The following is a 22,379-nucleotide window of genomic DNA, read 5'->3' on the forward strand; positions in this document are numbered from 1 at the left end:
AACATGGGATATATCTGAAGACTATGCACGTTATTAATTTTGATAAGTACTGCCAAAATGGCTCAACCAATTAAAATAATTTGGAAGTTTTTCTATGCTCTAGTCCATGATGGATATTATCAATCTTTTAAAAAAATTTGCCAGTTTAATGGAGATAAAATGATACCTCACTATCCTTTATTATTGATGCTTCTGGTTACTCATGAGGTTGTGCAGCTTCTTATATGTTTATTGGCATTTATAGACTGTATGAATCGCCAATTCATATTCTTAATCCATTTTTCTATTGGTTATTTTTGCCTTCTTATGGATTTGTAGGAACTCTATACATTCTGAATATCTTATATTTTTCTGTTTCATATGTGAAAAATATTTTTGCTCAGTTGCCGCCTAGTTGTTTCTGCTCTTTCATCATACTTTAATTTTAAATTTTATGTAGTGCTTCAGTCTGTTTTTTGCCTCTGGATCTGCATATTGCTTAGAAAGGCCTTCTTCACCACATCTATGGTTTCCAACCATTCTTGCAGCAGTTTGTTGTTATTTGCAATTAGCTCTTTACTCTGGAAACTATATTTTTGGATAATGAGAGTTAAGGGACTTAATTATGTTTTTTTCTAAAGGAATAACAATTTTTTGAGTGCCATTTATTTGAGTAACCCTGACTTTCCCCAGAATTCTGAAATGGTACCAGTGCTATTGATACAGGAGCCAAAAAGAAATTATTTAGGCAGATAGTGAAGGTAAGAGAGTCCTCAGCAGAGCTTCTTTCTGAACAAAAAGCAACCCCAAAATTATTTCTTTTTTGCAAAGAGCAGCCTGAAAAATTGAGCTACAAACATAGATAAGCAAGCTGGCAGTGCACGGGAGAATGCTGGCAGTTGTGCCGATAGAAAAAGACTACCTGGAAGCCAGGTATGTTCAATATGGAGACTCCATCTTCCATTTTCTTTGTCACCACGTGTACAGTGAAGGAACAGGCAACATGGCATCAGTCAGGTAGAGAAGCCATCTGCAGAATAAAATATTAGGGTGGGAAGGCCAGCTTCTTCATGCACTATGCAAATGGCACACCTGGTCCAACCAGTCTTTCATTCCCTACGTAAATCAAACGCCACTTCCTCAAGCTCATCTATAAAACCCTGTGCGTTTCACCGCAGAACTGGCAACCCATTTTCTCTGGGACCCCTTTCTCTGCACAGATAGCTCTTCTCTTTCGTTTGCCTATTAAACTTCTGCTCTTAACCTCACTGTGGTGTGTCGCGTCCTAGTTTTCCATGGCTGTGGGACAATGAACCTCAGGTATTACCCCAGATAATGATGCCGCTACACTATGTGCTACATTTCCACATAAGCTGGCGATATGGAGTCCGTGTCAGTGCTCTGCTCACAGTCCTGTGCTTGCGTGCATTTCCTCCCCCGGGTGCTTTCCTTCCAGCAGCCACGCCTGCATTTCTCAGAGGACCCCCTTGAAGGCTGCCATTCCCACGTTTCCTGCTCTCCTGGAGAGTTGGAAGTATCTGAGAATGTATCTTCTCCTGGGCAGTACTTACCAGTGTGGATTACTGATGGTAGCTGGGATATAAATATTGCAGCTTCCTTGCCCTACTTAGCAAGACAACTCTGAGGGGTGAACTTCACCATACTCTCTGCAATTCTGAGTCAATGGTACTATCTGCAAATTCTTTTACACACTCATCAAAAGGCATATCTTTGTGGCAGCTTCTATAAGAGAATACAGCTGCCATGTAGAAAGATCATGTGAGAACCACATAGAAGGGGAAAGAGATGACTAAGGGGCCCCAGCTGCCCCAGTCCCTGGCTGTTTGAGTCTTACTAGTCCAGGTACCAGACGTGTGAGGGACGACACCTTCGAGGTGGCTCCAGTTCCAGCCACCATCTGGTTACCACCACTGAGAGACCCTGAGTGAGGTATGCCTAGCTAAGCCCAGATGACACCCAAATGTGTGGGCAAAAATAAACGATTGTTATTGTTCTAAGCCACTGTTTTGGGATTGTTATATTTTGGGATAACTGGAAGGAATACACCGTGGGACTTTGCTTGATTTGGAACTTTTGCTTGGCCTCTGTATCAGTTTCCTAGGGCTGCTGTAACACACGATCACAAACTGGGTGCCTTGAAACAGCAGAAATTTATTCTGTCACATTTCTGGAGGCCAGATGTACAAAATTAAGGTGTTGACAGGGCTATACTCCCTCCAAAGGCTCTGGGGGGAGAAGACTTTTTTTGCCTCTTCCAGCGAGAGCCTTAACTTAGTTACATCTGTAAAGAACCTTTTTCCAAATAGGCCATGTTCCCAGGTTCTATTCCCTGATTCGAATGTTAACATGTCTTTTTGGGCTCTACCATTTAACCTACTATAGTCCAACCTCTGGCCTTCCAAATTCACATCTGCCTCATGTGCAAAATACATTCATTCCGTCTCAACATCTCCAAAAGTCTTAACTCTCACCTAAATATCATAAAAATTAATTCAAAGAGTCTCAAATATTCACATATAAATAATCAGGTGTAGGTGAGTCTATGGGTATGAGCTATGCAAGGGCAAAATTCCTCTGCATCTATTGACTAGTGAGACTAGAAAAGAAGTTACCTGCTTCGAAAACACAAAGGTGGGCCACGTATATGATAGACAATCTCACTGCAAAGCAGAGAAATTAGAAGGAATAAAAGGGTCATCAATCCCAAGCAAGTTAGAAATCCAACAAGGCAAAGTCATTTGGTTTCAAGGTCTGGGAATAATCCTCTGTGGCTTGAAGCTGTGTCTTTTGGGCTCATGGCTTCATAGGCCTCTTTGCTCATGGCAACTTGGTAGGTCTCTGCTCTTGAACATTCAGCCTCTACCCCTGTGCCCATGACCCTGTCCTCATAGTGATTCTTCCTTTTTCTTGAAGGGCAGCACATGCTGATACCTGAGTAGTTCTATCAGTCCTCTTCTTGCCTGAAGAATTGTGCATATCTGACAGCCTCTCTTTCACTTTGTCCTGTCTCAGCCCCTTCAGGCCAAGCTGACAGTGTTTCTTCTGGTACAACCTTCTCAAGAACTTTTGAGGCTCCCATGTATGTCACAGGGATCCATGCCATTAGATAAAAGAACCCCCACAGATCTTTCCTGGATAACGCTGGATCTATCCTTGGATCCGTGAGATAATTGAGGGATCCATCAGTTGTATAGCAGATCTCTTCAGCACAATATTGTCTAGGCACACCCTCGGCCCTGTATCCAGAGTACACTTTCCCAACAGTGAGTTTCCCAATTTTAGCATCTTTTGCAATCTGAATAGGCCGAGAAGCTCCCAATCATCAAGTGTTGTTTCTTTTTGCTTAACAGCTCCTTCCTCAATTTGCTTATTTCCTTTTCTGTTTCATTACAAACAGCATGAAGAAACCAGGCTGCATCTTCAACACTTTGCTTAGAAATCTCCTCAGCTAAATATCCAAGTTCATTGCCTACAAATTCTGCTGTCCACCTAAGGACACAATTCATCCAAGTTATTTGCCACTGTGTCACAAGGATCACTTTGCCTTCAGTTTCCAGTAACATGTTCCTCATTTCCTTCTTAGCCTTCAACATAAACCACTTTTAACATCTGTATTTCTACTAACACTCTGCTCATGATGAGATATACATTTCTAAGATGATGGAAGAATTCTCTACCATGCTCTTCACTTCCTTCTGTTCCCTCACCAGAATTGCCTTTAAAATCCATAACTCCACTAACAGTCTCTTCAAGAAATTCTATGACTTTTCTCTCAAGTACCTCAAAAACCATCCAACCTCTATTTATTACTCAGTTCCAAAGTCACTTCCACAATTTGAGGTATTTATTAAAGTAGCACCCACTTCCTGGTACCAAAATCTGTATTAGTTTTCTAGGGCTCCCATAACAAATTGCCACAAACTATGTGGCTTAAAACAGACAAAATTTTTTTCTCCAAAGTCTGGAGATCAGAAGTCCAACATCATGGTATTGACAGAGCCACTCTCTTTCTGAAGGCTCTAGGAGAGAATCATTCTTTCCCCTTCCAGGTCCTGGTGGCTCCAGGAATTCTTGGCTTGTGGCAGCATCACTGTAATTTCTACCTTAATCTTTTCATGGCCATCTCTTCCTGTATGTGTCTCTCCTCTGTGTCTCTTATAAAGTCACTTCTCATTAGATTTAGGGCCCACCTGGATAATTCAGGATGATCTCATCTTGAGATCCTTCATTACATCTGTTAGGACCCTTCCACCAAATAAGGTCACATTGACATGCTCTGGGGTATAATAGGGCTCTCCAGGGAAACAGGATAAATAAAACATATATAGATCTCTACATAAGAGGAGATTTATTATAATGATTGGCTTGGCCAGGCGCAGTGGCTCATGCCTGTAATCCCAGCACTTTGGGAGGCTGAGGCGGGTGTATCACCTGAGGTCAGGAGTTCGAGACCAGCCTAGCCAACATAGTGAAACCCCGTCTCTACTTAAAATACAAAAAATTAGCTGGGCATGGTGGTACGCACCTGTAATCCCAGCTACTTGGGAGGCTAAGGCAGCAGAATCGCTTGAACCCGGGAGGCGGAAGTTGCAGTGCACCGAGATTATGCCACTGCACCCCAGACTGGGGGACAAGAGCGAGACTTTGTCTCAAAAAAAAAAAAAAAAGGCTCACATGATTATGGAAGTTGAGAAGTCACACAATCTGCCATCTGCAAATTGAAGAACCAGGAACATCAGTGGTGTAATTCAGTCCTCGCCCAAAGGTTTAAGAACCAGGAGGACCAAAGTCCAGGGGCAGGAGAACATGGATGTCCCAGCTTACACAGAATGAAATGTACCCTTCCTCTGCTTTTTTGTTCTACTCAAACTTTCCATGGATTGTATCATGCCCACCCACATTAGTGAAGGCAATCTGCTTTATTTAGTCTATGAATGCAAATGCTAATCTCTTCTGGAAACACCCTTACAGACGCACCCAGAAATAAATATTACCAGCTATGTGAGAATCCCTTAGCCCAGTCAAGTTGACACCTAAAACTAACCATCACATGGAGATTAGGACATAGGCATGCCTTTTTGAGATCCACCATTCAACTCACTCCAGTAGCCTTCCCTTCCTCATCCCAACTCCCCTCTCTTTTATCATTTTTTTCTTGAGAATGCTCACTAATAAATTACTTTTACACAAATCCTTGTTTTGTGGTCTGCTTCTGGGGAAACAAACCTAATAGGATTTATATCTGGAGTCTATATTTGATTCCATTAGTCTATTTGTTTGTACCATACCAATACAATATTGCTTTAAAAATTATTTATTCCGAGATATTTTTAGATTCATATGCAGTTGTAAGAAATAATTCAGAAATAGCACATGTACTCTTTACCTTCAATGTCATCAATATCCAGTTTTCCCCAGTGTTAACATCTTGCAAAACTATAGTACAATATCACAACCAGGATATTGACATTGACAGTCAAGATACAGAATCATTCATTTACCACAAGGATCTCTCGTGTTGTCTTTTTACCACTACACCAAGTTCCCTTCCTCTCCCTGCCTTTATTCGTTGGTCCATGTCATCCACTAACCTTCTCTTCATTTCTATAGTTCTGGGTTTCTAGAATGTTATGTAAATGGAATCATACAATAAGAGACCTTTCGGGATTAACTTTTTTCATTGAGCATAATTCCCTACAGATTCATCCAGGAAGCTGCATGGAATACTAGTTTGTTCCTTTTGATGGCCATGTGGCATTCCATAGTATGAGTGTACCACAGTTTGTTTAGCTATTCATGTGCTGAAGGACATTTGGGTAGTTTGCAGTTTTAGGCTGTCATGAATAAAAGATGCTATCAACATTTGTGTACAGATTTTTGTGTGAACATCAATTTTCATTTTTCTGGGATACTTGCCCAGGATTGCCATTGGTGGATCACAGGGTAGTTTTATAAAAAATGCCCAAACTATTTTCCAGAGTGGCTGCATCATTTTGCATTCCCACCAGCAACATATGAGATGTTGAGATGATGCCAGCCGGGGCCCCAGGTGGACTACAGCTCCTGTTACAGTGGTAACAGGACACACAGGCTTTATACTCAGCACTGCGCCAGCATGCCTCCCATTCCAAGGTGCTGCTTTGAATCCCCTCTTCCCAGCCTAAAGTTTGAAGCTGTTTCTGGAGGTGTAAACTGACTACTTTCCCACTGCTAGCTCGAATACAATCACTTTCCTATCCCTGTACTTCATCCTTGTTACTGGCTGTACAAGCTGCAAGCAGCCAGGCCTGTGCTAGGTTACGGTGAGAACTTAAAGACTCCAGATGAGATCACCTAAGGAAGGAATGGGGAGAGAAGAGGCTCAAGCCTGAGCACCCGGGCACGGCCAGCCAATGGGACTGAATGGGAACATTGGGAAGGTCTGAGGAAAACCAGGAGAGGTGACTGAGGGACAGAGAGCAGGAGAGCCCAACAGCCTGGACGCAGAAGAGGCCAACAGTCCGGACGTGACAGCAGGCTGTGACCCGGCAGGGGTCCACCCACCCCAGTGAGCAGGCCCAAGGCAGCGAGGGCCCACACCCCTCACATGCAAAACTGGCCTCTTCTGGTCACTGGTGTCTGAAACCAAATCCAGAACAGCCTGTGGCCTGTAAAGCATATATTTCTAACGACTGCAGACTGGTGGGATGATAGGAGCCTTCTGAATGACCAGGACTGCTTTCTTGTGGAGCTGATGAAAACGTATTCTTTTAGCATGTTAGAAATCACTCGTTTTACTTTGTTTATTTGGCCAAGCTGGGTCTGGTGTTTCTGTTGCTGGGAATAGACTTTGAAAAGTCATACTTCTATCAAGAAACAAAAGTGTCCTTGCAGAAATTTCAGGTCTCTTGTTAAGCATGTATTGGTCTTAAGGTTCACTGTTTTTTAAATTATTATTTATAGAAAGAATCTATAAATTCTTGGGGAAGTGTGTTATAAGCTTTAATAATTACACTGAGTTGCACCTTAGTGGTGTGACATTAGCATGGAATGGGGTTAATATCTGAGGCCGCAGATGATTTTGTACCTTTTGGAATAAAGGGCAAAATAAACTCTCCCAGAGTAAGAGCTGTATCGTGAATTGTCATACTAATTATTGAGGGGGACTTCTGTGCTTTTATTGAATGGAGTGCTTTACAATTTTTATTTTTGAATGGGGTTGGGATCTTTGGAATATTTAAATAAAGTTATTAATGATTAAAAAAAAGAAAAGAAAAGAAAACGAGGAGAGAGCTCTGGGACAATGGAGTGGCCATCTGGTTGAGCAGTGCTAAAAGGCCAAGAGGTAGACAAAGAACTGACCACGCCTTTAGCAATGCGGGCATCTCAGATGACCTCAGTGAGAGCAGTTTTGGTGGAGTGGTGGAGATGATGACCTGGTTGGGGGGGCAGTAGGAAAACCGGGGGGAGAAAAACTGAATGTAACGCATATAAAACAACATCACTTGCTCCTCTGAGGATGCAATTATACTTACCTCAGTGTTTCCAAGTATTTGATTTATTAACTGTCTTCAGGAGTATTAGTTCTCATTCAGGTATTGATTTTCTATAACTTCTTGGTAATATCTGGGTACACATATTTTTAATTTTTATTTGCATTTATTTTATGCTGAATTTCTTCCCTGGCCATAACCTTCTGTTTCTTTGGTCTCTTCTGAGATATCCTTTCATTCTTTGCAAACTCCTCTTCTGGTTTAGGAACAATTTTTTTTTCAGTAAGCGTCTGTTCAAAGGGACACTCGTGTGTGGGTAATCCCAGCACTTTGGGAGACCAAGGCAGGAGGATCACTTGAATCCAGGAGTTCAAGGCCAGCCTGGGCAACACAGAGAGACCTCATCTTTACAAATAATTTAAAAAATTAGCCAGCTGTGGTGGTGCATGCCTGTTATCCCAGCTACTGGGGAGGCTGAAGCAGGAGAATTGCCTGAGCCCAGGAGTTTGAGGCTGCAGTGAGCTGTGATGAAGCCACTGCACCCCAGCCCAGACCCTGTCTTTAAAAAAAAAAACAAAAAAAACAAAAAAAAAACGGCTGGGTGTGGTGGCTCATGCCTATAATCCCAACACTTTGGGAGGCCGAGGCGGGCAGATCACCTGAGGTCAGGAGTTCGAGACCAGCCTGGCCAACATGGTGAAACCCCGTCTGTACTAAAAATACAAAAATTAGCTGGATGTGGTGGAGGGCGCCTATAATCCCAGCTACTCGGGAGGCTGAGGCAAGAGAATCTCTTGAACCCAGGAGGCGGAGGTTGCAGTGAGCCAAGATTGCACCATTGCACCCCAGCCTTGGGGACAAGAGTGAAACTCTGTCTCAAAAAAAAAAAAAAAAAATCACAAGGCATACCATGAAACAGGGAAACATGGCCCTATCAAAGGAACAAATCTCTAGACATTAACCCTAAAGAAATGGAGATCACCAGGCAAAGTGGCTCAACACCTCTAATCCCAGTAGTTTGGGAGACTGAGGAGGGAGGATCACTTGAGCCTAGGAGTCAAAGACCAGCCTGGGCAACATAGACCCTGTCTCTAGAAAAAATAACAAAATAAATAATAAAATAATAAAATACAATTAGCTGGATGTGGTAGCATGTGCCTGTAGTCCCCACTACTTACTTGCAAGACCAAGGCATTTGGATAACATGAGCCTGGCAGGTCGAGCTGCAATGAGCCATGATTATGCCACTGTACTCCAGCCCGGGTGACACATTAAGACCATGTGTCAAAAAAAAAAAAAAAGGAAAAAAAAAAATGATGGAGATCTATGAGTTGTCTGACAAAGAATTCAAAGTAATCATCTTAAAGATGTTCAGTGAGCTACAAAGAACACACAAAATCAGGAAAACAATATATGCACTAACAAAATGAGATCAATAAACTATAATATGTAAGATGTTAGTGATCAGGTAAACTGCGTGTGAGTATATCAGCTGTATTTGCATTTTTTTTTATAAATCTAAAGATACAAAAGTTTATTTTTAATAAGTGTCAGAAACTGAAATTAAAAACCTATTGTAGGCTGGGCACAGTGGCTCACACCTATAATCCCAGCACTTTGGGAGGTCAAGGCTGGCAGATCATGAGGTCAAGAGATTGAAACCATCCTGGCCAACGTGGTGAAACCCTGTTTCTACTAAAAGTGGATTCTGTATTCCCTCAGCCAGAGACCTGTCAACTTAACCAGGACTCCATAGTGCCACTGGGAATTTTGGTTCATGAGAAGAGCTTATTTACTTCTAGCAGTGTCGCCATCAGCTAAAGATAAAACATGTTCTTGAAGGCAAAGCTCACACAATTTAATACTTTCCCACAACCCACTCCAATTGCCCATCAATTCTTTAGCCCCATAAAGCCCTTCCAGTTCTCCCTGAATGCTGCTCCAGGGTGGGTGCCGTCATAGGGGTCTTCTGGTCCCCTCTTAGATACTCATGTGCAGGTGGCCTGTCTGAGGAGGGCCTGAGTTGCTCAGTCTGTGCTGGAAGCTCCACCTCAGGCCTCTGCTTATGGTCTTAGTTATTTGCTCTCACAAGCCTGTTCTTCTTGCTCATCAGACCTCCCGTGAAAAGCTCTGCTGAATGAGGCAGCACTTTGCTCTATTAAATGAGAATGTAAATGACAGCTACCTCATTAGAAGAAGCGGGGCTGGGTGGCATGGTTTATGCCTGTAATCCCAGCGCTTTGAGAGGCCAAGGGGAGAGGATCACTTGAGCCCAGGAGTTCAAGACCAGCCTGGGCAACGTAGCAAGATCCCATCTCTACAGAAAATTTCAAAAATAAAAAAGACTGTCATGCAGCTCAAGGTCATGATCTGAAATGAAACAAACAAAAGTCTATCCACAAATCTAAAGCCATCTTTTAGAATTTAACACTTTACTATTGTTACACATTGTATATAATCCTTATGTATAAATGTTGGTTGCACTTTTTGCTGTTTTACTTTAGGTTTTTCTCTTGCTGGTTGTATTAGTCTGTTCTCACATTGCTGTAAAGAACTACCTGAGGCTGGGTGCAGTGGCTCACGCCTGTAATCCCACCATTTTGGGAGGCCGAGGCAGGCGGATTGTCTGAGTTCAGGAGTTCGAGACCAGCCTGGGCAGCATGGTGAAACCCTGTCTCTACTAAAATACAAAAAATTAGCTGGATGTGGTGGTGTGTGCCTGTAGTCCCAGCTACTCCGGAGGCTGAGGAATGAGAATCACTTGAACCTAGGAGGCGGAGGTTGCAGTGAGCCGAGATTGCACCACTGCATTCCATCCTGGGCAACAGAGAGAGACCCTGTCTCAAAACAAAAAAACAAAAAACAAAAAACTACCTGAGACTGGACAGTTTATTTAAAAATGTTTAATTGACTCATTTCCACAGGCTGTACAGGAGGCATGGCTGGGGAGGGCTCAGGAAATTTACAATCATGGCCGAAGGTGAAGGGGAAGCAAGCACATCTTCACATGGTGACGGGAGAGAGAAAGCGAAGAGGGAAGTGCTACACACTTTCAAACAACCAGATCTCGTGAGAACTCACTATCACGAGAACAGCAAGGGGGAAATCCACCCCCATGATCCGATGACCTCCCACCACATCCCTCTCCCAACATTAGGGGTTACAATTCAACAAGAGATTTGGATGGGGACACAGAGCCAAACCATATCACTGGTAAAAGGTCATCATATTAGGTCATTTTCTTCTATGTCAGTATTCCTTCTATGTCAGTGGGAGAATTGCAATGCCTTTTCTTATTGGCAATATGTTGTGAGTATTTATCTTGACTTGGGCCATATTATCAACCTCTTACTTCTTGGTATTTTCCTTCCCATTATCTCAACACTATGAACTCCTCCCGTATTCTGTATTGAAGGAAATTTATTTTTTTGTAGTCCAACTAACTTCCTTTATTTTTATTATGGTAAAATATACCTAAAATTTACCATTTTGATTTTTTTTTTTTTTGAGACGAGTCTTGCTTTGTCACCCAGGCTGGAGTACGGTGGCATGATCATAGCTCACTGTAACCTCAAAAATGTCAAACTTCTGGACATAAGCAGTTTTCCCTGTGTCAGACCCCTGAGTATCTCGAACTATAGACATATGTCACCACAGCCAGCTAAATTTTTTTTTTTTTTTTTTGTAGAGACAGGGTCTTGCTATGTTGCCTAGGCTGGTCTCAAACTCCTGACCAAAAGTAATCCTCCTGCCTAAGCCTCCCAAAGTGCTGGAATTACAAGTGCGAACCACTGGGTCAGCCTTTTTGTTGTGTCTTTTTCTGGTTTTGTTATCAGGGTAATATTGGCCTCTTAGAATGAATCTGAAAGCATTCCCTCCTCTTTGATTTTTTGGAATAGTTTGAATAGGACTGGTATTAGATCGTCTTTAAATGTTTGGTAGAATTCAGCAGTGAAGTTATCAGATCCTGGGCTTTCCTTTGATAGGAGACTTTTTTTATTATAGGCTTCAATCTTGTTACTTGTTACGGGTCTATTTGAGTTGTGGATTTCTTCATGGTTCAATCTTTGTAGGTTGTATGTGTCTAAGAATTTATCCATTTTTTATATGCTTCTCAATTTATTGGCATAGAGCTTATGCCTCTAGTGATCGTTGAATTTCTGGGGTTTATTTGTAATGTCTCCTGTTTCTCTCTGATTTTATTTATTTGGTTCTTCTCTCCTTTTTTTCTTAATCTGGCTAAAAGTTTGTAGATTTTGTTTTTCTTTTCAAAACTCCAACTTTTTTATCTTGTATATTATTTGTCTCAATTTTATTTATTTCTGCTTGATCTTTATTATTTCTTTTCTTCTAATTTTGGGTTTGGTTTGCTCTTACTTTTCTAGTTCTTTGACAGGGTTTCACTCTGTCACCCAGCCTGGAGTGCAGTGGCACAATCTCCGTTCACTGCAACCTCCGCCTCCCAGGCTCAAGCAATCCTCCCACCTCAGCCTCCCAAGTAGCTGAGACTACAGGTGTGCACCACCATGCTTGGCTATTTTTTGTAGAGATGGAGTTTCACCATGTTGCCCAGGCTGGTCTCAAACTCCTCAGCTCAAGCAATCCACCCGCCTTGGCCTCCCAAAGTTTTGGAATGACAGGCATGAGCCACCACACCCGGCCATGCTTTTCTAGCTTTTTAGATGCATTGTTAGGTTGTTTAATTGAAGTTTTCTACTTTTTTGATGTAAGCATTTATTCTAATAAACTTTTATCTTAGCACTGCTTTTGTTGTATACCATAGGTTTCGTTCTGTTGTGTTTTCATTTCCATTTCTTTCAAGAAATTTTTAAATTTTCTTCTTAATTTCTTCATTGACCCAGTGGTTGTTCAGAAGCATGTTGTCAAATTTCCATGTGATTCTATTTTTTTTTTTTGTTTTGAGATGGAGTCTCCCTCTGGTGCCCAGGCTGGAGTGCAGGGGGTCAATCTTGGGTCACTGCAACCTCTGCCTCCCAGGTTCAAGCGATTTTCCTGCCTCAGCCTCCTGAGTAGCTGGGATTACAGGCACATGTCACCATGTCCAGCTAATTTTTGTATTTTTAGTAGAGACGAGGTTTCACCATGTTGGCCAGGATGGTCTCAAACTCCTGACCTCAAGTGATGCACCCACCTCACACTCCCAAAGTGCTGGGATTATAGGTGTGAGTGCCCGGCCAATATCTCTACTTTCCAAAGTTCTGCTTGTTATTGATTTTTAGTTGTATTCCATTGTGATCAGAAAAATTACTTGCTATTATTTGAATTTTTAAAACTTTGTTAAGATTTGTGGCATAACATATGGTCTGTCTCTGAAAATATTTCATGTGCTGAGGAGAATAATGTGTATTCTGTGGCTGTTGAATTAACTATTCTGTAAATGTCTATTAGGTCCATTTGGTCTATCATGCAGATTAAGTCTGATAAGGGTTTTTGTTGTTGTTGTTGTTGATGATTGTCTGTCTAGATTTTCTATGCAATGCTGAAAGTGGAGTGTCAAAGTCCCCAGCTGTTATTGTATTGGGAACTCTCTCTCTTTAATCCTAATAGTATTTGCTTTATCTATCTGGGTGTTCCAGCACTGGGTACATTAATGTTTACAATTATTATAACCTCTTGTTGAATTGACCCCTTTATCATCATATAATGACCTTCCTTGTCTCTTTTCACAGGTTTTGACTTAAAAATCTATTTTATCTGAAATACATATAGCTATTCCTGCTCTTTTTGGGGGTGTTTCATTTGCATGGAATGTCTTTTTCCATCCCTGCATTTTCAGTCTATGTGTGTCTTTATAGGTGAAGAGAGTTTCTTGTAGGCAGCATATAATTGTGTCTTTTAAAAATTTATTCAGCCACTCTATGTCTTTTAATTTGTAGAACTTAGTACATTGACATTCAATGTAATTATTGATAGGTAAGAACTTACTGCTGCCATTCTGTTAATTTTTTCTGGTTGTTTTGTTGGTCCTCTTCCTTTCTTACTTCCTTTCTGTCTTCCTTTTAAGTGATTTTCCCTGGTAATATGTTTTAATTTCTTGTTTTTTATTTCTTGTGTATCTATTCTAGGTCTTTGCTTTGTGGTTATTATAAGGGTTGCTAGTAACAGCTTATAACTAGTTATTTTAAACTGATGAAAACTTAACACTGAGTAGAAAAAAGGAAAAAAAGCAAACAAGCAAAGAGAAAACTCAAAAAAAAAAAACTCTACAGTGTTACTCCATCTTCCCTTGCCTCAATGGCTGTTTTTTTGCCTTTTTTTGGGGGGAGGGTTTCTCTAATTATATCTTTTTATATCATCTATCTCTTAAGAAACTGTCGTTTTTATTATTATTAGTTTGAGGTCAAGTCTCACTCTGTCGCTCAGGCTGGAGTTCAGTGGTCTGATCTCAGCTCACCGCAACCTCCGCCTCCTGGGTTCCAGCGATTCTCATGCCTCAGCCTCCTGAGTAGTGGGGATTACAGGTGTGCAACACCATGCCTGGCTAATTTTTGTATTTTTAGTACAGATGGGGTTTTGCCATATTGGGCAGGCTCACCTCAAACTCCTGACCTCAAGTGACCCACCCACCTCGCCTCCCATGTTGTCATTATTATTATCATTTTTTTTTCTTTTTTGAGATGGAGTCTCACTCTGTCACCCAGGCTGGAGTGCAGTGGCATGATCTCGGCTCACTACAGGCTCCACCTCCTGGGTTAACGCCATTCTCCTGCCTCGGCCTCCCATATAGCTGGGACTACAGGCACCCACCACCATGCCCGCCTAATTTTTTGTATTTTTAGTAGAGATGGGGTTTCACCGTGTTAGCCAGGATGGTCTTGATCTCCTGACCTCGTGATCCACCCACCTCAGCCTCCCAGAGTGCTGGGATTACAGGTGTGAGCCACCACACCTGGCCGTCATTATTGTTTTTGATAGATTTGTCTTTTAGTCTTCCTACTAATGATATGAGTGGTTTAAATAATGCAATTACAGTATTAGGCTATTCTGTATTTGTCTGTGTACTTAAGTTTACCAGTGTGTTTTATATCTTCAGTTGCTTTCTTGTTACTCATTAATGCCCTTTTCTTTCATATTGAAGAACTTCTTGTAAAACAGGTCTGGTGTTGACAAAATCCCTTAGCTTTTGTTGTCTGAGAAAGTCTTTATTTCTTCTTATGTTGAAGGATAATTTTGCTGGGTATAATATTCTAGTCCAAAGTTTTTCTTCCTTTGATACTTTGAATGTCATTCTATTTCCTCAGGCTGGTAAGGTTACCACTGAGAAGTCTGCTGCCAAGTGTGTTGGAGCTCCTTTTTATGTTATTTGCTTCTTTTCTCTTGCTGCTTTTAGGATCCTTTCTTTATCTTTGACCTTTGAGAGTTTGCTTATTGTATACTTTGAGGTAATTTTATTTGGCTTGAATATTCTAAGTATTCTTGATCTTCATGTTCCTAGGTATTCATGTCTTTCTCTAAGTTTGGAAGGTTCTCTGTTATTGTTTATTTGAATAAACTTTCTACCCCAGTCTCTCCATCTACGTCCTATTTAAGACCAGTAGTTACTAGACTTGCCCTTTTGAGTTTATTTTCTAGATCTTGTAATAGTGCTTCCTTCTCTTTTATTTATTTTTGCTTTTTTCTCCTTGGACTGTGTGCTTTCATATAACCTGTCTTTTAATCTACTGATTCATTCTGCCACTTGATCAATTCTACTGTTGAGAGATTATGATTCATTTTTCAGATTGTCAATTGAGTTTCTAAGCCCCAGAATTTCTGCTAGATTCTCACTCTGTTGCCCAGGCTGGCGTGCAATGGTGCAATCTCAGCTCACTTCAACCTCTGCCTCCCAGGTTCAAGCAATTCTCCTGTCTCAGCATTCTGAGTAGCTGGGACTACAGGCATGCACCACCACACCCAGCTAATTTTTTGTATTTTTAGTAGAGATAGGGTTTCTACTAAACCCCATGTTGGCCAGGCTGGTGTGGAACTCCTGACCTCAAGTAATCCGCCCACCTTAGCCTCCCAAAGTGATGGGATTACAGGCGTGCACCACTGTGCCTGGCCTCTGCTTGATTTTTAAATGTTAATTCTTCATTAAATTAATCTGATAGAATTCTGAATTCCTAGTCTGTGTTATCTTGAAGTTGTTGGGCTTCCTCAAGATGGGTATTTTGAATTCTCTGTCTGAGTGGTCATATAATTTAATCACTCCAGAATTGGTCACTGGTGCCTTATTTAGTCCATTTGGTGAGATCATGTTTTCCTGGATGCTCTTGATTCTTGTGGATGTTCAATGATATCTGAGCATTGAAGAGTTAGGTATTTATTTCAATCTTTGTAGTCTGGAGTGTTTGTATCCATCCTTTTTGAGAAGGCTTTCAGTAATTGAAATGGGATTGAGTGTTGTTACATAAGCCTGTGGTCGTTGTGGCCTCAGGCAGAACTATGAGGCCAAGAGTGCTCATGCGCACCAGGCTTTCTTTTTGAAATTCGAGGTGAGGCCTTTACCACCCGTGAGCTCAGAGGAGGGAAGACTGGGACCTGTCTGAAGGTCTGGAGGGAACTCCCAGTTGCACACTTGCCCCCACTGCCCCTTTCCTGGCATGGGGTGAGATCGGTCTACTTCAGCAACCAGTGCCTGCCCTTGATCCCTGCAGGAGCTGAAGGAGGTGAGCAAGGAGCAGCCCAGACTGGAGGCTGAGTACCCTGCCAACACCACCAAGAACTGTTAACCACATGTGCTACCCTGTGAGTGCTGGGGGCAGGAAAGGAGGCATGGCAGAGGGCTAGGGCTTGGCATGGGAGCAGGGGGCTTCATGTGCCCAACCCTGAATGCACAGCTTTCACTCTCTGCAGATGACCACTCCAGGGTCAGGCTGACCCAGCTGGAGGGAGAGCCTCATTCTGACTACATCAATGCCAACTTGGTCCCAGTAAGGGCCACCGGTGAGGCTGTCCATGGGATCTGGGATCTGCTCGGGAGATGGGCTGGTTTGCAGGCCACACTTGCCTTCATTAGCTGTAACAGCTCTCTAGGAGATCACCAGCTTGGGCTTCATGAGCTCAATCCAGCAGGTGTCTAGCAAGGGTCTACTGTGTGCTGGGCTCTGTGCTGGGCCTGCAGGAGGCAGAGCTGTTAGCCACATTCCCCACCTTCAAAGGAGCATGTAGGCATGTGTGTGACATTCACCACACACTGTGACAAGGGCTGTAATAGAGGAAAAAACACTACTCAGGGCACATGGAGGAAGGGGAAATTTCATCCACCTGAGGAATCAAGAAAGGCTTCCCAGAGGAGGGGACATTTGATTTATTGAAGGATGAGTAACATTTTGATAAGTGATGAAAGAGGGAAGGACATTCTGTTGACTGGAAGAAGCAGCCAGAGAACAGCCAGGCAGTAACGTTCAGGCAGTGTGTGAGAGTGTGTGTGTGTGTGTGTGTGTGTGTGTGTGTGTGTGTGTGTGTGGTGGGGGGTGCGTAGGGGTGAGGGAGTGGGGAGGTGCTGGGTGGTGGGAGATGTAATGGGAAAGATAGCCTGGGGCTGAATGGGCTGAATGAAGGAGGGCTTGATTGTTAGGCTGAGGGCTTTGGACTCTATTTGGTGGGCAATTGGGAGCCATAGAAGATTTTTGAGCATGGAAGAAACGCAGTTTGGTTTTAGGAAGGTAACTCTGGGTGGGTGAAGAGGGTGGCCTAGATGGGCTATTTAACTCATGTCAGTATCTTGTTTTCATTGGGGTTTTTCTTGTCCCTTTGGGGTGGGACAGGGACGGGGGTGATGTCTCTGAAGTCAGCCCTTCTGGTTTGCATTCTGGGTGCACACGTGTTCTTGTGTGTGCACACATGTAGGTGTGTGCACAGCATCCTCACTCCTGGAGGTCAAATGTTGGAAATCTGCTGTGTGCTTGACACCAAGCATTGCCCGTTAACCATGTTCCTGATCTCTGCCTCCTACACCCCAGGGCTACACCCGCCCACAGGAGTTCATTGCCTCTCAGGGGCCTCTCAAGAAAACACTGGAGAACTTCTGGCGGCTGGTGCGGGAGCAGCAGGTCCGCATCATCATCATGCCGACCATCAGCATGGAGAACGGGAGGGTGAGTGCGCCTTGCAGGCTCCTAGAAAGGCCACCAGGTGGCGCACGTTCTCCTTGTGGGGATGGCCCCGTTGGCATCTTCCCGTGGGAAGGCGGGGCAGACTGGAGTGAGGCCAATCAGGCCTGGAGGGTAGTGGACCCACCTCCCACCCAGACCTGGGATGGGGAGGCAGTGGGAGGAAACAGGTATGTAAACTCCCAGCTTGGCTTTGTTTCTACGGGCTTCTTGCCCTGGGCAGAGAAGGCATCAAGGGGTAGGGACTGCCCAGGGCCGGTGTCAAAGGTACCATCAGGGATCCTTCCTTTCGATAAGCCTGGCAGATGCAGGGCCCTAGGACATGCAGAGAGGCTGCCGAGTCTGTCCTCTTGCTGGAGCAGTGAGCCCAGGGCCGCTGGCCGCGGAATAAGGGCTGTTCTGTTTGGCACAGGAACCTTGTGGCTGACTCAGAATCCTGAGAGTCATGAGAGGTCTGAGGGCAAGGGTGCCGGAGCCCAGGCAAGGGAGAGCAGCTCCTGGAGGAGGAAGCCTTGGAGCTGGGTCATTACAGAGAGCAGAATCCCAGCAGGGTGGCAGGGACCAGAAAGGTGGGCAGGGAGGGGTGGGACTGAGTAAAGCAGGGGGCGGCAGTGATAGGGCTGGGCCCACAGCCGCCCTTCCCCTCTCCAACCTTCTGGTCCCAGGTGCTGTGTGAGCATTACTGGCTGACCGACTCTACCCCGGACACCCATGGTCACATCACCATCCACCTCCTAGCTGAGGAGCCTGAGGATGAGTGGACCAAGCGGGAATTCCAGCTGCAGCACGTGCGTGCCCCAAGGATGAGGGGATGGGACAGGCATTAGAGCTGAGACCCCTGAGAAGGTTGCCTCACTTCCTGGGTCCCTGGAGCCCTCTCTTTCGGAGGACCACAAGTACTCAGTCACCACCCAGGGAAGAGTGTGTTAGGGAAGGGGTAGAGAGGCACAGAGAAGATTAAGGGTTTATCTGAGGCTGCACAGTGAGGGAAAGGAAGAACAGGAGAGACATGATGGTTCCTGACCTCCCCCATGCCAGCTCAGGGCTCTTGCCTCACCCCATGCCCCCTGTGCCCATCTTCCTTCCCAGATTGTGCACCCCTGGGGCAGGAAAGCCAGAGACCCGAATCACTTCTCTGCCCAGGCACCCTCTATATGCAGAGGTTACCCAGGAGGCTAGAGAAGGACCTGAGGGCTCAGGAAGCATCCTGATGGGGGAGACATAGCTGCCACCCTCAAGGAACAGTTGGTCTGCATCATCCCTGCCCTTAGGCAGCTGGGGAAGAAAGTGTGAGATCTGGGCCATGGGAACCTGGAGTTAGGAAGATAAGGAGCAGCAGCAGGGCCCCTCTGCCCCCTTGTCCCCTTCCCACCCCCTTCTTAGGTTGTCCAGCAACATCAACGGAGGGTGGAGCAACTGCAGTTCACCACCTGATCCGACCACAGCATCCTTGAGGCTCCCAGCTCCCTGCTCGCCTTTATGGAGCTGGTACAGTAGCAGGCAAGGGCCACCCAGGGCGTGGGACCCATCCTGGTGCACTGCAGGTGACAGCAGGTGAGTGCATAGGGTGGAGAGCCCCCTGCCTGGCCTGGGGGCATGGAGGGCTCTTGGACTGTGGGGAGAGCTGGGGACATGGGCAGCCTCTTCACCCATTCAGCTCCTCAGGGGCTGTCCCTGCGGTGTGGGCATGGGCCGGACAGGCACCTTCGTGGCCCTGTCGAGGCTGCTGCAGCAGCTGGAGGAGGAGCAGATGGTAGACGTGTTCCATGCTGTGTATGCACTCCGGATGCACCAGCCCCTCATGATCCAGACCCTGGTGAGGGCCCTGCAGGCTGGGCTGGGCAGCTGGGACCCTGAAGGAGTGGGAGGGAGGTGGGTGGCCACAGGGCTACAGGAGGGACCAGGAAAGAGAGCTCATGGGGCACACAGAAGACCTTGGGGAGAGGGTTTCAGACACATCACCATCCTACCTGGGCTGTGCTTTCTATTCTGTGAAAGGGGAGGTGGGACAGGATCCTGTCAGCTTTGACACCATGGGACGGTGGAGGGAAGGTTTCTCAGTGGCTCCCTCTGCCCTCCTACCTGATCCCTGCCTTGCTGGTCAGGGCCTGAAAAATCTCCCTGCAGGCCCCCCTCGCTCCTCGCTGAGCAGCCTGATGCCTTTTCCCCTGGCAGAGCCAGTACGTCTTCCTGCACAGCTGCCTACTGAACAAGATTCTGGAAGGACCCTTCAACATCTCTGAGTAAGTCCCAGCTTCCCTGTGCCTCCCACAGGCAGGCTCCCTGCTCCTGTTCGTGGGCAGAGCTGAGCGGACTAGAACGGGGAGCTGGGGAACCTTGAGTGCCTTCTCCCTCTCCAACCCCCCCACCAGGTCTTGGCCCATCTCTGTGACGGACCTCCCGCAGGCGTGTGCCAAGAGGGCAGCCAGTGCCAATGCTGGCTTCTTGAAGGAGTACGAGGTACACTTCAGGCCGGGAAGTGGGTGACAGCCAAGGGCAGCCTTCCGCTGCTGAGCCAACCCTGCAGTGAGACCTCCCAGCCTCAGGGCACCCATCTCCTTCCCAGCTCTTGCTGTAGGCCATCAAGGACGAGGCTGGCTTTTCCGCACCCCCGCCTGGCTATGAGCAGGACAGCCCCGTCTCCTGTGAGTCTCACTGTGGACCCTGTGGAGGGGCAGGGGGCCAGCGTGGGCTGGGGACCTCTGGCAGCTTCACCCTCACTGTCTTCCCTCAGATGACCGTTCTCAGGGGCAGTTTTCTCCGGTGGAGGAGAGCCCCCCTGACGACATGCCCGAAGCCTGGCTCTTCCCTGTGAGATGATGCTGGTTTTGCCACTGTTTCCTGCCCTCTCTGACCACCTGTACTTCCCGGGCTGGGGCTGCTGGGGGCTCCCAGAGTTGTGGACTGGGCAGGGGGCACCTTCAGTCTCTGGAAGCCAATGATCTGTGCTCTGCAGGGTGGGCCCTCTGGCCGTGATCATACGGTGCTGACTGGCCCCGCAGGGCCAAAGGAGCTCTGGGAGCTGGTGTGGCAGCACAGGGCTCATGTGCTTGTCTCTCTTTGCCCACCCAATGTCATGGAGAAGGTGACAGAGCAGAGGACAGAGGAAGGGAGGCTCAGGAGTTAGGGGTGAGGATGGAGGCGGGTAGTTTGTGGTGCTGTCTGTGACCAGGGCAGGGGCAGAGATCTCAGGAAGTTGCCTGAGCAGCCCTAACTTGGTCCCAGCCATAGGAATTCTGGCCAACGGAGATGCAGCCCGTAGTCACAGACATGGTGACGGTGCACTGGGTGGCTGAGAGCAGCACAGCAGGCTGGTTCTGTACCCTCCTCAGGGTCACACATGTAGGTGCTGGGGCCACAGGGCATGGGGTGGTGCATGGGGAAGAGTCCTGTGTGGGCTTCCTCTGCCCTCTCCAGCACCAATGCTGATCATGTCTTTGCCACAGGGGGAGAGCAGGAAGGAAAGGGAGGTGCAGAGACTGCAATTTCCATACCTGGAGCCTGGGCATGAGCTGCCCGCCACCACCCTGCTGCCCTTCCTGGCTGCTGTGGGCCAGTGCTGCTCTCGGGGCAACAACAAGAAGCCGGGCACACTGCTCAGCCACTCCAAGTGTTGTTGGACAATGGTCTTGGGGGAGTGGACAATGGTCTTGGGGGAGCGGACACTGGAAGCCCCTCCCTGCCCTTCTGGCATAGCCTCAGATCTCCCTGGGCTCTGCTTGGGTTATGGGTCAAAAGGACACAGTCTCACAATGCCCCTGTCTTCTCCACACCCTACCCTGTCCTCAGGAATATGGTGGGAATTTACCGCCTCCCTCCCTAGGTCCAGGCTGGCCGGCTGACCAAGTGTCCGGTGTCCCTTCTCAGTCCCTGCGCCCAGGTTGGGTTTTCCCACATCCGTGGACACCCCCGCCACACCCCCTTTAGGTACCTCATCCACCTCTAGGTCAGTTGCAGCAAGGGTGCAACCCAGCTGGGCACCTTCCTGGCCATGGAGCAGCTGCTGCAGCAGGCAGGGTCTGAGTGCACCGTGGATATCTTTAACGTGGCCCTGCAGCAGTCTCAGGCCTGTGGCCTTATGACCCCAACACTGGTGAGAGGCGACCAGGGGCGACCGGGCTGGCGTGGGGGCTCAGCTGTGGGAAGGGGCGGGGGGATGAGGGAGCTTCTGCCCAGGCCTCTAGGCAGCACCACCCGGGTAGCCACCAGGTGGCGCTGTGGACCGCTGTGCGTTCTCCCAGATGGAGCCCTAGGGGTTGGGGGACACAAGGGAGCCTTTTTCTGTTAGATTGGGGCAGGCGGGGCGAGCCTCCTAACCCTATGTCCATCTCCAGAAGCAGTATGTCTACCTCTACAACTGTCTGAACAGCGCGCTGGCAGACGGGCTGCCCTGAGTCAGCACTGGTCACGGTGCAGGAGAGGTTTGTGCCCTGTGGGATGGGGACAGCATTCCTGACACATCCACGTGGGCCTGGGCTCCCTGGAAGGGCGGCCTCCACTGGGCCCTGTGCTGGGAAGGTACAGGGTCTTGGAATAAAGACCTGTGGCCAAGCCTGAAGCTCAGTGTGTTCTGTCTGTCCATCCTCAGGCCTGGGCCCAGCGTGTGGGTCTCGTGGGCAAACATGGAGCCGGGATGGAAGCTAGGACCTGGAGTCTGGTTGAACTTGGTGACCTATGGCCCCTATGCTGTTGGTTTTTCCCCTGAAGCAATCCTCTCCCTGCTAATCCTCCAGTTTCTAAATTTCCTCAGACTTTGGTCTCTCCACGTCTAGTTTCCTGTGGTGCTAAGCCC

The 22,379-nt window shown here is 46.5% G+C and overlaps 1 pseudogene across 1 annotated transcript, besides 2 other annotated features; it reads left to right on the forward strand.

The window, feature by feature from the left end:
- LOC100128076 (protein tyrosine phosphatase receptor type H pseudogene) lies at nucleotides 16,344-22,139 on the forward strand (annotated as a pseudogene). The gene is given in 13 exon segments (NR_015444.1): nucleotides 16,344-16,418; nucleotides 17,438-17,572; nucleotides 18,253-18,375; nucleotides 18,971-19,075; nucleotides 19,253-19,403; nucleotides 19,763-19,830; nucleotides 19,960-20,047; nucleotides 20,154-20,232; nucleotides 20,322-20,398; nucleotides 20,544-20,672; nucleotides 20,813-20,929; nucleotides 21,034-21,680; nucleotides 21,922-22,139. The product of NR_015444.1 is annotated as a protein tyrosine phosphatase receptor type H pseudogene (transcript).
- Nucleotides 17,413-18,044: an enhancer, noted in NCBI's record as "H3K27ac-H3K4me1 hESC enhancer chr9:94896185-94896816 (GRCh37/hg19 assembly coordinates)". NCBI's record gives its function as "activates a minimal SCP1, AML or CMV promoter by ChIP-STARR-seq in naive H9 embryonic stem cells {active_cell/tissue: H9 hESC(naive)}" and the evidence as "EXISTENCE:reporter gene assay evidence [ECO:0000049][PMID:30033119]".
- Nucleotides 17,649-17,888: an enhancer, noted in NCBI's record as "active region_28590". NCBI's record gives its function as "activates an Ori minimal core promoter by ATAC-STARR-seq in GM12878 lymphoblastoid cells {active_cell/tissue: GM12878}" and the evidence as "EXISTENCE:reporter gene assay evidence [ECO:0000049][PMID:35858748]".
- Nucleotides 22,140-22,379: the final 240 nt, after the last annotated feature.

Source organism: Homo sapiens, chromosome 9 (assembly GCF_000001405.40).
Source record: "Homo sapiens chromosome 9, GRCh38.p14 Primary Assembly".
Lineage (NCBI taxonomy): Eukaryota > Metazoa > Chordata > Mammalia > Primates > Hominidae > Homo > Homo sapiens.